The 16,456-nt window shown below is 42.5% G+C and overlaps 1 protein-coding gene across 6 annotated transcripts in view; it reads left to right on the top strand.

The window, feature by feature from the left end:
• The window catches only part of PTPN14 (protein tyrosine phosphatase non-receptor type 14), a 202,903-nt gene extending 187,864 nt beyond the window's left edge, over positions 1-15,039 (top strand). For all 6 annotated transcript variants that reach the window (NM_005401.5, XM_017001941.2, XM_024448759.2 and 3 more), the window contains one exon: positions 5,689-15,039. In NM_005401.5, the coding sequence (NP_005392.2) occupies positions 5,689-5,817 (129 nt within the window). In that variant the 3' untranslated portion in view covers positions 5,818-15,039. The remainder of the gene's footprint in view (positions 1-5,688) is intronic.

The following is a 16,456-nucleotide window of genomic DNA, read 5'->3' as shown; positions in this document are numbered from 1 at the left end:
CCAAGTAGAGGAGCCATGAACATGTCACTCTTCCTATTTCACAGAAGAGGAAACTGAGGCCCAGAAATAATTACATGATTTGTCTAGTGCCATGTGGCTCTTACGCAGTGGTACTGAAGCCAGAAGCAAGGTCTGTGTCTGGGTCCAGAGTTATTTCCTGTCTTCACTCTGCCTCCAAACGCTGAGTAAGATTTGGTTCTTACTCAGTTTTCAAATTATATGGCTTGAAAAATTAAAGGAAACTTGTGGTTTGGTAGTTTTTAAATTACAGAATGATTTGTTGCAACTCTGTGGAGGAATTTATATGATAATATACCTATTTATTCAATAGCATGAATCGTTTGAAAATCAGATTAAATATTGCTACATGAAGTTTGTCATATTGAATCATCCAGGAAAACAACGAATGCTAAGCTTAGACATTAAACTCTCTGCCCATGAAAAGATAATTTTGAGAATCTTCCAGTCTGTCCATGGGAATGAATGTTTGTGCTGCTAAAAATTGGAAAAGGGGCAATCCCAACTGTAGCCCAATGTTAGAAAAACATAAAACAAAGCTTGAGCGAAATGTTCATCATGGAATCAGTTGAGACTACATAACAGAAATGTCATTGCCCTCTGAGTTTTTACCATTTTGCCCCACATAGGATTTTTTTATTGTTTGCCTCTCTATTCCCATCACTACTAGAGGTCTCTAGAAATCTCTAGAACAATGAGTAACCTGCCACTGAGTCTCAATCCATCCATTGCTAGGAAGACAAAATAAGATGAGGTAGAATCAGTGTGTGCATGGCTTGAGGGCCTCATCATCACCTTCCCCACCTAATCGTCCTTTCCTTCCCTTCATATCACTTTTGTCACCAAATTCCCCCCTTGTTTTCTTTTCTTTTTTTCTTTTTTTTGAGACAGGGTTTTGCTATGTTGCCCAGGCTGGCCTCAAACTCCTAGGCTCAAGTAGTCCTTCCACCTCGGTCTCCTGAGTTGATGGGATTACAGGCGTAAGCCTGGCCACTCCACTTCTTTCCCCATTCCCTGTGCTCCGCTCCCTACTTCCCCTTTTCAACTCAAGAAGCCATTCTGTCTTGTCTGACACGAAAGACTATTCTGTTCTGAGCTCTTTGGAGACCCATCAAAGGCTGAGCCTCAGTGAGGCAATGACATGGGGGCTCACTGAACACCAGATGTTACTGGTCTGGCAGAGCACAGACAAGCATATCAAATCCGGAACAGTTTGGAGTAAGGGATTCGGCCAGTGTGGCCTCCTGTGGACTTGGTGAAGGCTCAGGGTGGTTAAATGCTCTATGGTGTGTCCAAACATAGCGGATTTCCTCAGTGCCCAACTGCATGCCAGAACATTCTTTGCTGGGACGTGGTCAACCCAAAAAGAACTTCTGTTCCCATTGATATTCAAAGATAGCAAGATGACTCATATTTTTCACTTCTCTTCCCCTAGCACAAATATAGCCAGTCTTATCTGTCCTATTTCCCATGGTTGCTATTGGTAGATGGTTAGCGGGGAGAAATGCTCTCCTTTTGTTCTGGTACTGTTCAGGCCTGGCTAGTAAGATCCAAGCCCCTATTTCAGGAGAAGAGTAGACCATGTTTAGTTTATTTTGTGTTTCAAGCAAAGATTTTAACAAATATATATTAAATTGTGGGACCATTTTTCTCCTGTCCAAACTCCCCTGCCTTCTTTCCACAGCTTCTGGATTTAGCATACTTTATATTTTAGTCTGTAATTCATGCAGTTTTAATTCTGTCAATGAAATGGCCTTTCTTTTTCCTGGACTTGTCCCTCTCAGTCTCATTCTAAACACAGAAAAGTTGAGCAGAAACAATGAAACACAGACACTTACAATGAGGTTGGTAGCTGTGCAGTGGGGAGTGGGGACAGCTGTCCCAGGCTGCTCTGGGAAGCCTCCCTGTGGCCCAGTGCTTTTGGTCACTGAGTGTTAGCTGAGACTTTTTAAGGTGCATAGAGTTTTTCAGAAAGCACTCGTTTTATGGTCTGCAGGACACTCAGTCCCTTGGATGTAGCTGTCTGTTCCAGCTACAGCTAATTACAAAAGGTCAGGATCTCAGTAGCCAAAGGGCAGATGTCTTGATCTTGCTGCTTTTCTGAGTAAGTTATACCTCCTTCATAAAGTGAGGAGGAGAAAATGTCTTCTAGACAAGATTGAGCAATTGTCAACTGCTTTGTGCTTCCTTGGCTTGGGGGCAGTTAAGAGCAGAGCCTGTGGGAGTGAATGAATCTTTAAGCCAGCTGGGACCCTTTCATTGAAGACCAGGAGAACTTTCTTTGTCATATCCCCAGACTTGAACATATCAGACAATATACTGTCATTTAGGCTCAGTCCTACAGGTAATTGAGATGGGGATGATGGTAGAGGAGGAGGAGGAGGATGTGGTGGTGGAGGAGGTGGTGATGGTGACAACATTGAAAATAATATCGTAACAGCTAACTTGTGTCTAGTGTTTACCATGTATACGCACTATTCTAAGAGCCTGATAGTATTAACACAAGTAGCCTTTGCAGTGACACTGTGAGCTAAGTCCTGTTAGTATCTGTGTTAGTCCATTCTCACACTGCTATAAAGAACTACCTGAGACTGGGTAATTTATGAAGGAAAGAGGTTTAGTTGACTCATAATTCTGCAGGCTGTACAGGAAGCATGGCTGGGAGGCCTCAGGAAACTTACAATCATGGTGGAAGGATAAAGGGGAATTAAGCACGTCTTCACATGGCAGCAGGAGAGAGAGAGAGCAAAGGGGGAAGTGCAACATACTTTTAAACAACCGGATCTCATGAGAATTCACTGTCACAAGAACAGCAAGAGGGAAATCTGCCCCCATGTTCCAATCACCTCCCACCAGGTCCCTCCCCCAACACTGGGGATTTCCAGTCAACATGAGATTTGGGTGGAGACACAGAGCCAAGACCATATCAGTATCCTCACATAACAGAAGAGAAACTGAGTCATAAGTAAATGAAGTAATGTGCCCACTTCCCACAGTCAAGAAGTGGTAGAGCTGAGATTCAGCAGATGAAGCCTTACTCAGAGCCTGTGCTCTGAACACCAGTGTGATCCTGCCTCCTGGCTAAAACCTTTGGTGGGTAGGGGAGGGAACAGCCTTATTCTCTCTATTCTTTTATCTTCAGTGCCCAACCGCAGAGTAATCCTCATCAAACATGAAATTAAGTTCATTATTAGGTGGCTCTAGGTCACATCTTATACTGGTCACTTTGCAATATAATTTAGGCAGAGACCTACTTGTTACTGTCAGAAGCTTATAACCTAGGCTCTGTATTTTGATTCATAGTTCGAAGATTCACATGCCTTTTTTTTCTTTTCTTATTAGGCAGGGACTTGACTTTGTCCCTTTGCACCACTGTGATTGCACCACTGCACTCTAGCCCAGGCAACGTCGCAAGTTTGTGATATGCATTCCTTAGTTGGTGTTGAACAAGAGTGACTGATGGCACGTGTCATGTCATACCTATACACGGCTTGGAAATAGCTTAAATTATTTTTTAAGGTTCAAAGGTTACAAAGTCAGGCATACAGCTGAGTTTTTATTATTTTCTTTTAAACACTTGCTTAGCCCTTGAAAACTTCCTGGGTGCCATCATTTGCCCTGGGTTAAGAGCTCCCAGAGCAGAGTGAATGTGCTGAGGCCACCATGGCCTCCACAGCTCAGGGGTGCTCCAGCCGTATGTGTCCTGGCTAGTCCAGGAGGATGGACATGGTGAAGGTGAGGGGAGAGGACACTGTGACAGCCTCTGATCTGCTCAAGTACCCATGACACTGAATTAATTTCCTTTCATTAATGATAGTATATATCATCGTATATATTCTCAAAGAATTCACACATAGGCAATCTCATTTAATACTCAAAATGTTCTCATTTAAGACTCAAGGCTAGGCACAGTGGCTCATGCCCATAATGCTAAGACTTTTAGAGGCCAAGGCTGGAGGATTACTTGAGCTCAGGAGTTTGAGACCAGCCTGGGCAACAGAGTAAGACCTCGTCTCTACACAAAATTTTAAAAGTTAGCCGGGTGTGGTGGTGTGCATCTGTAGTTCCAGCTACTCAGGAGGCTGAAGTGGGAGGATTGCTTGAGCCTAGGAGGTTGATGTTGCAATGAGTTATGATCGCACCACTGCACTCTAGCCTGGGCTACAGAGCAAGACTCTGTCTCAAAATAGGTGTTCTCGGCCAGGCGCAGTGGCTCACGCTTATAATCCCAGCACTTTTGGGAGGCCGAGGCAGGCGGATCACGAGGTCAGGAGTTCGAGACCAGCCTGACCACCATGCTGAAACCCCGTCTCTACTAAAAATACAAAAAAAAAAAAAAATTAGCCAGGCATGGTGGTGCGTGCCTGTAATCCCAGCTACTCAGGAGGCTGAGGCAGGAGAATTGCTAGAACCTGGGAGGCGGAGGTTATAGTGAGCAGAGATTGAGCCACTGCACTCCAGCCTGGGAGACAGAGTGAGACTCCGTCTCAAAAAAAAAAAAAAGAAAAAAAGTGTTCTCAGTTGAAGGCTTTTACTCCAAGTAGGACTGGTGTTCAGAGATGGCGCTTTGACATTTTAAAGGTTTACACTTAAATTATCTCACTTGATCATGACCACAGTCCTGTGAGATTATAATTGCATTAATAACATTTATTAATGTTAATAAAGGAATAATGAGGTCAGGCGGGGTGGCTCACGCCTGTAATCCCAGCACTTTGGGAGGCCTAAGTGGGCGGATCACCAGAGGTCAGGAGTTCAAGACCACCCTGGCCAACAGGACGAAACCCTGTCTCTACTAAAAATACAAAAAATTAGCCGGGCGTGGTGGTGCGCACCTGTAATCCCAGCTACTCCGGAGGCTGAGGCAGGAGTATTTCTTGAACCTGGGAGGCAGAGGTTGCAGTGAGCCGAGATCACACCACTACACTCCAGCCTGGGCAACAAGAGTGAAACTCTGTCTCAAAAAAAAAAAAAGGAATAATGAGTAATATTTATTAAGCACTCACTGTGCACTAAATGCTTGATATGTGTTTCATCATTTGATCCCATGAGGCAAATGTTATTTCATACCCCATGTTATTGCTGAGGAAATGTAACTAACTAGGGCAAGGCCACACTGCTGTTAGAGGAAAGCATTATTATCCTGATTTTACAGATGAGGAAACTAAGACCCTGAGAGGTCTTAAATCCTGTCATTGGGTTGCAGGGGAGTTGAGAGTACCATTCAGGTCTAACTCCAGCCTTTATGTTTTAACCAGCAGACTAGTCTGTATTCAAAATAATACACCAGGACAGGTGTGGTGGCCCACGCCTGTAACCCCAGCACTTTGGGAGACTCAGGTAGGAGGACTGCTTGAGCCCAGGAGTTGAAGGCTGCAGTGAACTATGACTGTGCCACTGTACTCCAGCCTGGGTGACACAGCAAGACCCTCTCAGAAAATTTGAAATTAAATAAAAATAAAATATCCCACCAGTGACACATGATGACCAGGTTCTCCAGTTGCTGATATAAACTGTTTGATGCATAAAACCCAGCCAGGGCAGAGTCCCTTGCCTTCTCTTGTACCTGGACATGGGCAGTGGGTGAGTGCTTCCTGAATGAGGGAATGAGGAATGCTCAAAGGGAAGCCTCCTGTCTCAGGACCTTGTGCTTTCTCTCTTTTCTTGCAGAAGGTGGAAGTGCCCATGATGCTGAGGCTCCTCAGGGAGCAGAGGATGTTCATGATCCAGACTATCGCTCAGTACAAGTTTGTCTACCAAGTCCTCATCCAGTTCCTCCAAAACTCCAGACTCATTTAATCACCCCAATCCAGCTCCTGGAGGAGGGACCCAGCTCCATCGCGCTGGAGGAGAGTCACCTCCAGACAACATCTGCTCCCCCCACAGGGGTGCAGGTGGCTGGCAGCAAACAGGCTCTCTGAAGACAGTAGCCAAGATTATTCACACATACCATGTATTATTTTATATGAGATAATTTATTTTTTTCCCCTTTGGAATAACTTTTGTGAATTATTATAATGCAGTTTCCCTAGTAATATAGTACTTTTCATTTGAACCACATCTTGACTGATCTGTATTGTAATATATGTCAGCAGGTAAGGTTGCCTGCTGGATCATTTTGAGGACAGAGGCATGAGGGAGCACATCTCTTGTGAAGTTGCAGCCAGATTTGTAACCAACCCTGAAATTCATCAGCTTAATTCATTTATCAGCTTGATTCATTCATCATTCATTGCTTATATCCAAAGCAAAGACGGTAAGAAAATGAATTCATCCTGAAATATAAAGAAAAGGGTCTGAAGGAACAAACACGATTCTCTTATATTTTGGGGCTCATGAGCCTTGATAGACAGTTTCCTCTCGTCTTCATTTCCACCCCTCATCCTCAGTAGTCTCCTCTCCCCCACGCCCCACCCCAACTTCCCCCCCAAGCTTGAGTTAAAGACAGAATAGCTAAAGACAGTGCTGCCTTTACAATGCAGTAATTGCCATCTTTGGGGCCGAAAGACAAGCTCTGTGTTGTGCTTTTCTTGACCACCCCTTATCCTGGGCTCTGGAGCTTGTGTTTCCCTGCTGGCGACTGTACCTTGGGTATTTGTTGCTACCTCTCCTGTTTGCTCAGTAGGACCCTGTCTGGTGGCATTGAGGCTCTGGACCAGACCATCTGTGCAGTTAAGGCTCTACCCTGATTGAGAGAGGATAGCAGACCTAGAAAGAGAAAGGAGTTGGGCAGGGCCTTTGAGGATTGTGTTTTTCAGGCAGGGCCTTGATGATCATTGTTTTTTATTTAAATAAGATGTGTGTGCTGGACAGAGACCTAAAAGTTGAGGTCACTAAGTCATTGGAAAGGCCATCAAGGAAACAGATGGGGAAGCTGATTTATGGGAGCTGTAAGGCATTTAGCTACATAACAGGGGTCCTGGCCAGGAAACACATCAAATGTGACCCCCGCTGTGCTGATATCATCTTCAGGCTTTGGTCTGCAAGATCAGAATTAATCCCACTCGGGACCCCATAGTCCAAACTTGGGGCCACTTGATGAACGATGGTAGAATTGTCATTGGCAGAGCCCTGTGCTTCTTTCCTTTTCTTCATAAAATCCACTCGCTGGTCAGTTATCTTCACTTTGAAGCCCAGTTCTTAGTTTCTTCCTATGGCTTCATTGGTCAGTGTCCTTCTGAATTTCCAAGGATGGTACACAATAAATCATGTTTTGTACTTTTTTCCTCTTACTGCATTTTGGGGGATTTATCATTCTATGTCTACCTTTTCTTGAGTACAGCTTTGATATGCACCTGTTGTTACGTGGTGATGGGAAGTCACAGGCGTGCTCTTTCTAGTTAATTTGATGCCACATCTTCCTTGTCTTTTCAGCTTGGGAAAAAGGCGGCAGTGGAGGAAGGCATGGAATGCCCACAGTGGTCAGTTCAAAGAACAAACGTGCAATTAAAAAACTGTAGTCAGCCAGGCACGGTGGTTCACACCTGTAATCCCAGCACTTTGAAAGGCCAAGGCGGGCAGATTGCTTGAGCTAAGGAGTTCGAGACCAGCCTGAGCAACATGATGAAACCCCGTCTCTACAAAAAGTACAAAAATTAGCCAGGCGTGGTGGTATGCCCTGGTAGTCCCAGCTGCTCGGGAGGCTGAGGCAGGAGGATCACCTGATTCTAAGAATTCGAGACTGCAGTGAGCCGTGATCTTGCCACTGTAGTCCAGGCTGGGCTACGGAGAGACCCTGCCTCCAAAAAAAAAAAAAAAAAAGGAAAAAAGGTTGTCAAGAAAAACTAGATGTTAGGAGAAAGGAAAATTTAATTGCAGTTTTTTTTCTTAGAATTGACTGCTGTGAGAGTTCCATATGCCTTTCTTCATTGCTGCTTTTGTCCCCCGTGAGCTAAAAAGATGGAGTGACATCAAATCAACCAGAAAAAGTATGCCTTTGTGACATCCCATCACCACATGCCAACAGGTATATATTCCCCATTAAGTTCTTCGGAATAGGAATCCTCTGTTTCAACCTGGCCAGGTGTTGTGGTGGCTGTACTCTAGTTAGACTCGGAATATCTGGGGATGGAGGGCTTCCCCTGTGTCTTCTACTTCAAGGTCTGAAGGCTCAGTGAAGGAGTATAATCTGCTGATCTTTGTAGATTCTGGAGTTTTGTTGTATGTCCTGGAAAGAAACCCATTAGTATTACATGTATTTTCAGTGAACAGAGCTTATAACCCTTATTATAAGAAGCTCATCAATAAGCAAAAAGATACTTGTTTCCTTTCCTTGGAGGTTTTTCCATCCTTGGGATATTCTGCTGTTAGGGATGTTTTAGCAAGTGGTCTCAGTTACTGGTTTATTGCGTGATGAACAACATCAGTATTTATCTTTTATCTCTAAGCCCCAAGGTGGGCACTGTTAGAATATGTCTCATGTGGACAGCATATAGATCTGGTGCGTCTTTGAGGTCGTCAGAGCTCATGGGCTTCCCTGAAATTCATCCACTGTCCCTGCCGTATGCTACGGGAATATTCATTAGTGTACAAAATGCAGGGAGGAAGTAGGTTTAATATTCAACTTTCTAGCCAAAGTTTATATTGAAACCCAAAAGAAAACATTTAAGAGTTGTTCCACATATTTCACTTTTAAAAACAAATGCCTTTGGTTCTTTAGCACATTTTGCATTCCTTTTCACATCTCCAGTAAATGCCAACATATCTCCTGTTAAATTAGCAGCAGCCATTTAAAGTCCTTTCGGTGGCATCTGCATAATAATTGCCCAGAGATGCTTTATATCTGGGAAGCAAGCCAAGGAATAAACCTTGAAGCAAAGTGTATTAAATTAGTTATCTAGTTAGAGCTTTTGGAATGATTTCCTGATGATGTATCAAGTCTGAAGCTGGAGCTGTCAGTGTCTATTGCTGCAGTTTGGATTTGAAGGGAGAAAATGTAAAATGGAGGAAAAAAAAGTTACCATCTCACAACAAAGCCATCAAACATTTTCCAGCCGCTGTTTTCGAGGTTTTCCAGTTGAACTGTTTGGTTTCTTTCATCCACACTCATTTGGATACATTGACCCGAGGTATTCATCCTTGTTTACTGTGGTCCCTGAATCATGGGGGCTGAATTTGATGTCTTCATCCTTGAGATGAGCCTGCTGGCTTAGCTGAGGAATGTCCTGCTGAGGTTTCTTAGGTTTCCTTGGGTTCTAAGGATATACTGGATATACCATCTTTTAGCAAGAGTATCTGGTAGCATTTACAGATAGCATAGACATTGGTATGCACTTCTTTCCCCAGATAGGAAGTAAAGGAGGATTTAGTTGCATGAAAAAAGGATGTTAAACATTGATTACATAGGAGTAAAGATGAATGAGCTGCAATATTCAGTCGGAGCTAAACAATAAGATCAGGGAAGGTAAAAATACCTATGTGGAATATTTTGAATCGTAAGCTTTTGAGGAGCTTAAATTGAGAGAATTTTACTTTTAATTTTGTAGATTGAGAAGAGGAACCGCTTTTTAAAATTATAGCTAAACTGTCATTGTTTTCCTAAGAGTCACTTGGCCATCTCTGGCCCCCTCTTTCATCAGCCTGAAGAGAGGGTCTTTGTAGACTGCTGAGGGTGGGCCTTGTAGGACTTGACCATGGCTTACACCTACTTAACCTTTATCCTGCTTTCTTTCAGCTTGTGCTTTTCAGTTATAAACTCCAGTGGGTACAGCAGGCTGGCCTTTTCATCCAGCTGATTATTTTTCCAGCTTAATATAGATTGACCCATATGAAATTTCCAATAATGGACCATATTTTCTGCAAATAGACAGTACTCGCATGGATCACCTATATCTTCCCCCTGATACACTGTGGGTCCCAACACCAGATGTCATTTCTCCAGAGCAGTGCTAATGAACACAAAAGGTATACCCTGGGTGGCCCAGCTCTTTTCACGAACGTGCTGCCCTGCTCATAGTGATCCTTGCATCACTTGGTGAATGGGCCATCTCCTGGGACATGGAAGTTGCAGAGGTAGATAGTGCACTGCAGCTTCTCTTAAGCCGGATTGGCCATCAGGCATATCACTCTGGAGTTTTTAGCTGCTGTCCTTTCCCGATGAACAGTCTGTATTAGCTGACCTCAGCCTACTTGTTACGTGACGTATGGGTCCCAAAAGTGTCCTTTGTCAAAAAGCAGAATGTGCCTTCTAGTCTCCCTTTCCCCATCTAATGGTGTATTCGATGGTGAAGATGAGTACAGTTGACCACCCCTATCTGTGGGTTCCACATCCCTATATTCAACCAAGTACAGATTGAAAAATATTTGGGGAAGAGGGGAAACCCACAAAGTTCCAAAAAGCAAAAGTTGAATTTGCCACATGCTGAATACTACATTGAATTCACACAAATGAAGTGATGTGTAGGCATTGAGTTAGGTATTGTAAATAATCTAGAGATGATTTAAAGTATGCAAGAGATGTGCATAGGTTATATGCAAATACTGTGCTATTTTATATAAAAGACTTGAACATCCATGGATTCTGGTATTCTCAGAGGGTCCTTGATTGCCCCCTTTGGTAAAGGACAACTATTTCGTTACTGATTTTCGTTTGGGGAAGATCTGTCAATCCCTTGAGGTGCGGGGGTTGGGGGGATGGAGGGTACAGGGCATTCTAGGATGTGTGCCAGGGAGCACAGATTCAAGGGATGGGATTGAGTCAGACCTGTGTTCTTACTCAGTGTCAGAAATAACTCTGTGGAGCTCCTAGAGTAAGACATTTCCGGAAGCACCACATAATTACTGTTGGGCTCTTAGGGTAGCCCTTTTAGGGAATTGAGCATTCCCATGTTTTACCAACAATTATTCTGCTGCTGTGTTTTATTATATTGCCAATGGTTTTGAGACACTCATCATGCTCTTATTTAGTGATTTCTTTTCATGAGCAGAGCAACAGCTCATCCAGCATGGTTTCCAAATGGAGAAATTTGGGTCTTCTGTAGAAACCACACAAATTCTCCAATGGCCTACAGCCTTATGGTTGGCACACTAGTTGGCCCTATAGGGTGGAAATAAAGCTGTAAGATGTTAAACTGCATTTGATACTTCTCTTGAACGCTGAGCAAGGAAGCAAAATAGTTCTTGTCTTTACTTAAGCTTCTAAGACATTTTGGGGCAAAGGACCTTACAGATGGCGTCTGTTGAAAGTAACAGCAACGTGCCAGGGAGAAATGTGGGGGAAATCTCATCAAATTCTGCCACCTCAAATGTGTTGTCCAGAAGTCAGTGTTATTCAGGGGGCCCTGTGAAACTTGACCACCAGCTTGCGCCATCAACACTCAGCCTTTATCCAGCCTGCTCTCAGCTTTTGTGTTTCTGTTAGAAACTCAGATAGGTAAGTATTTTTATTCAGTAGACTACCTTTCTTATCTTTTCAGCTTAATATAGCTGCATCTTCTTTCTCAAAGCCAAACTAAGATATTCTCTATTAAAATGTCCATGAGCCTAGCATTGAGTGTCTGGCATCCATCAATTTCATAGACTGGAAAATGATTGTTGTTTGGTACAGTAAAGAAGAGGATGTGCATCAGTTCCTACCGTTTGCAGCTTTGTTTTTAGCCTTCCCATTTTAAAAATAAATTCAAGGACATTGAGTTACAAGGCAGGAGGGCTGGAGCTACTGGGCAGCCTGAATATGACAAGCATTTGTGTGGAAAGTCATTGCTCCTTCTGCCACACTTTGGGCCATCAGGATCATTCTTTCCCAGAAGTGCCATAAACTTGCTCAAAAGTTTCTATAAATGGGAAGAGGGAGAGGAAGGATTTTTGCATCAGTCCTGAAGTTGCTATCCAAAAGTTCTCTGTTTCACAAATAATTTTCTGAACTCTGGAATGCCTCTCCTACTCCCTGCCTCCCTTTCTGTAATGTCAGAGTGATGGAAACCACCAAGTGGCATGCTAGGGAAAGCCTGCAGCAGTGTTGGAGTCTATTTCACCCTAGCTCATAGTTTTAAACTGTCTTCACTGTTGAGGTAGAGCTTGATGAATGTCATGGATTATGATGTGTGGTTTATCATATTTGCCTGGATTTGCTGATCAAAAGCACCATCTTCCCTCGCCTGCTGCTGGCAGCCTTTCCTTGCCTTGCTTGTTAGCAGAGCATTCTGCTTACCCATGTGGCTCCCAGAGTTAGCAGCCCCGGCTCTTGGATTTCTTGATTCTTCTCCCCTGTGATCTCAGAGGTGCTGCAGAGGACATTCCCCTTTAGAGCAAGTCATGTTTCTATTCAGGCCACAAAACTGGGATGTACATGCAGTGACTTTGGTGTTCCTTGTCTTGTTCAGGGGAACGGGTGGGACTGTTGTGTGCTGTCACCCTCTTCATTCCATGAGCACCTTGTTCACTTAGGGTCTGCTGCCTTTTTTTTTTTCTTTTTCTTTTTTTTTTTTTTTTTAGTTTTTGAGATCGTGTCTCACTCCTGTTGCGCAGGCTGGAGTGCAGCCTCCAAAGTAGCTGGGATTATAGGCGTGCACCACCACACCCGGCTAATTTTTATATTTTTAGTAGAGACGGGGTTTTGCCATGTTGGCCAGACTGGTCTCAAACCTCTGACCTCGTGATGACCCCCCTCGGCCTCCCAAAGTGCTGGGATTACACCCAGCCTCTGCTGCCTTTTCATATTTCCCCATCTGCTTTATGGATCAACTCTCAACAGTACACTTTTTCTTTTCTTTACCTACCCTATGAGTGCAACCCAGATGTAAGAGTTAATCCTCGTCAGAGAATCATTGCCTTAAACCTCTCAGAAATATGTAATTAGGAAATCTTATTTTAATTTTTTAAAAATTGCTTGTATAGTTTCAAAGAATAAGATCTGGCAAATGGCCAGATGTGGTGGCTCACACCTGTAATCAAACCAGCACTTTGGGAGGCTGAGGCAGGCAGATCACCTGAGGTCAGGCGTTCAAGACCAGCCTGGCCAACATGGTGAAATCCCGTCTCTACTAAAAATACAAAAAAAAAAAAAAAAAAAAAAATTAGCCAGGCATGGTGGCACATGCCTGTAATCCCAGCTACTCAGGAGGCTGAGGCAGGATAATTGCTTGAACCCGGGAGGTGGAGGTTGCAGTGAGCCGAGATCATGCCACTGCACTCCAGCCTGGGCAACAGAGTGAGACTTTGTCTCAAAAAAAAAAAAAAAAAAAAAAAAAGATCTGGCGGATGAAAATAACCAGAATGAAAATAGCTAGAAAACTCAGCAAGCAGGAAGCTCCCTTTCTCACCCTTTTGTTCCCTTGCCGATAGAATCAGTCACTATTAGAAAAAATGAAAGACGCTCTGTTTAAAACAATGATGACAGCAGTACTTAATATGTATTTCGAGGTGAACTTATATAGATTGAGAGAGGCTGCATTTGGCAGACTGATGTATAGGAAGACCCATTTGTTTCTAGCTTCTCCCTGCAGGGAAAATGCTTTCGTCATTATAGCCTCTTTACACAGACTGGCCATTCTAGTGAAACAGGTGGTAAACCTTTGGGCTGCCCAGAAACATTTTATCTGTTTTCACTTACCTAGGAAGGGGAAAGATTAGCGGGTCATCCAAAATCTGTATGTAAGCTATCTTCATTTTCTTCCCCAACCTTCTCCTCCTGGGAAACACAAATGCTATCTCATCTGACAAAAGGTTTTAGAGGATAAAGCTGAAAAGATTGGATTGGGATCTTTTTGTGGCTTGGGGCGGAGCCTTTTGCTAAAATCTCAAGAATGCTGCTTTGAGTTTAGCTAGGGTGGCTCTCAGAACTGGGGTGCCTGGCATTCTCAGCATTTCTCAGGGGCCTCCCACCTCTGACAACTGCAGTGTTAGCTAATACATACCTTGAGCATAGAACTGAATGCTGTAATTCAGAGCCATTTTTTTTTTCAACTTGAACATTGTACAATTTTACTGCAATTTCCTTTGAACTTTCTTGCCACTGTTTGGAATCTTAAAAATTCATTAGCCTTCTCCTTTCTGACATAAAGCTACTCTTCATCAGAGATGAGTTCCTATGTATGTCCTTTGTTCCTTCAATAGCTAATTAATGTGCTTGAGGATACTTCAGTGGAAAAAAAGGTTTAAATATGCAAATTACTAATAAATGTGTAACCTTATGTAACTTGTGTTACATCAAGTAACAAGCTAATCTAGTTTGTTTCACTGGACTAGGCTTGTGCTCCCTACTTCAGTATTTTGATGCTTTCCTTGATCTTTGTTTCACAAAATGTTGTGAATTTTGGTATCATTCAAAACAAATGACATTTATTAGGTTTCATTTTGAAACGATGTACAGACAAGTCCCCAACTTAGAAACCGGTTTGTTCTTAAGGTTCTTGCGTCAGCCCATAGAAGCCCACTGACCTCCACCACAGCCCAAATGGAGGGCTGTGATAGCCAGATCTGGTTGGCTTTTGTGGGCTGACCCAGACATTTAATCACCATCTCTTATGTTGTTGCCGTAAGAAATGCATTCCAGGTTGGGACTTGGGATCCTGAGAGCACATTCGCCCCCTGTGGTGGCCGCTTGCCACCTTGCAAGATGGAAGCCCAGTCTCCTTACTACCAAACTGTAGTTGTAAGCAGAGGGAGGGGTGAGATGTTTATAGGACATTCCCTAAGCTGGGGAGTGATTTTTATCACTATTCATGTCAACTGTACTTTGGTATAGACTCCCTATCAATTTAATAATATGAAAAGCCTAAAATAAAACTATGCATGCTATTCTATGTGCTATTTTATATCAGTAAATAAGCTTATGCTTGCCAGTTGTATACACAGTTATGAGGTGTATAGAACTGACTTTGACAGTATTTTTTGCACTGTTTCCTATCTGTTTTTATAAAGTCTTATTTAGATATTGGACCTTGTTGATGTTCTCACTGCCCTTGTGCTTGCTATAAAATGTTTCATATGTGCCTTTACAAATGTGAGATCTTTATTCTAACCTTTTTTTGTAAAAGATATCTATTGATTTCCATATGCAATAAACCTTTTTTTCAGAGAAAAGTTACATCTTCTCTTTTCTGTACTGTATATGTTTGCATTAGTTGAAAGTGCCTGGGAAAACCTGCATGCTTTGTTTTCTAAAGCCCATTTATTGCTACCCAGTTTTTAGTCCTGCATAACCTTATCATACTGAAGATTTAGTTTGAAATTCCCAAGGTTGTCACTGTTAGAAGAAACCTGAAAGGGGTGATCACTAGGCAAGTGGAGTGAAGAATACATAGAAATGGGTCTTTCTCACAAATGCAGCAATAAGCCTCGTTAAGCTCCAAGCCCCTACTCACTCCTCCTTCACTGTCATTTACTCAGGTACCAAACTGTTGATGTGGAAAAGGCAGGCACCAACCAGGCTGCTGTAGAAAATTTAAATTCTTGCTTTTGCCTTTCAGCTTTATAACAGCTCAACTTGTGTCCAGGTTTAAAGGTGGCTGTCCTGTCCCAGACTTTCAGCCAGTAACCACCATAGCACATTCACGGTGAACCCCTCATATGTGGGTAGATGCTTTATGTATCCTTGGTAAGTAACAGAAAAGTATAACAACTTCTCCCAGTAATGCATTGACAACCCCATGACTATACAAGCAGTTGTTGAACTACCAGAGATCCCAACTAGTTTCACATCAAAAAAATGAGAATACTGTAAGCCACTCTGGGGTGAGAGGATATGGCAAGCAAATCTCATTAAACATACACTTAATTCTCTATGGTGACTGTGGCAACAAAGCAATTATAATTATTGAAAGAAAGGCTACATAATGTTAAAAAAGATGATAGTAGACAAAATAGGCCAATGAAAATGGAGATAAATCGGGTAGAATGGCAGGAGAACAGATACACTAATTCATTTTCTCTTTTGTGAGCTGAGCAAATAGAACCAGTTTCTTTTCTTTGGTTGATAAACAGAAAAAGTAGAGGTTTGTTACATAATTGAGAGAGAAAACAGTAACCTGGTAGACGTATTTGTCTCCAAATATACTGTTAGCAGAGCTGGGGAAGAAAATTTTTAAAAAGAGAGAAACAGAATAATTCCCCACAAAACTAAAGATAAGTATAAGAAACAGCAACGCACACACACAAATATGCAATAAGATGACAATACCAGAACCAAATATGGCTATTTTATGTGATTTTACCTCTTATTTTATTTAATGAAAATAAATGGGAAAAACTCACCAGATTTACTAGTTAAGAAACATAATGGGTGCAAAAAAAAACTCAGCTAAAGAAAAGAAACATCTAACAAAAAGAATAAATGAGACTTGTATAAACACAGCAAAACTCCTTCTGAGGCAAAACTTAGACAAATTGATAAACTTACCACATTCTTGAATAGGAAGACTCCTGAAGAGGCCAGTTCTCTGTATATCACTGACTCTAGTGCAAGTCCAATAAAAAAATCACAACACCACCAGAAAAATTC

This window comes from Homo sapiens, chromosome 1, assembly GCF_000001405.40.
Source record: "Homo sapiens chromosome 1, GRCh38.p14 Primary Assembly".
Taxonomy (NCBI): domain Eukaryota; kingdom Metazoa; phylum Chordata; class Mammalia; order Primates; family Hominidae; genus Homo; species Homo sapiens.
Note: the sequence above shows the minus strand (reverse complement) of the source record. Positions and strands in the feature narration are given on the sequence as shown.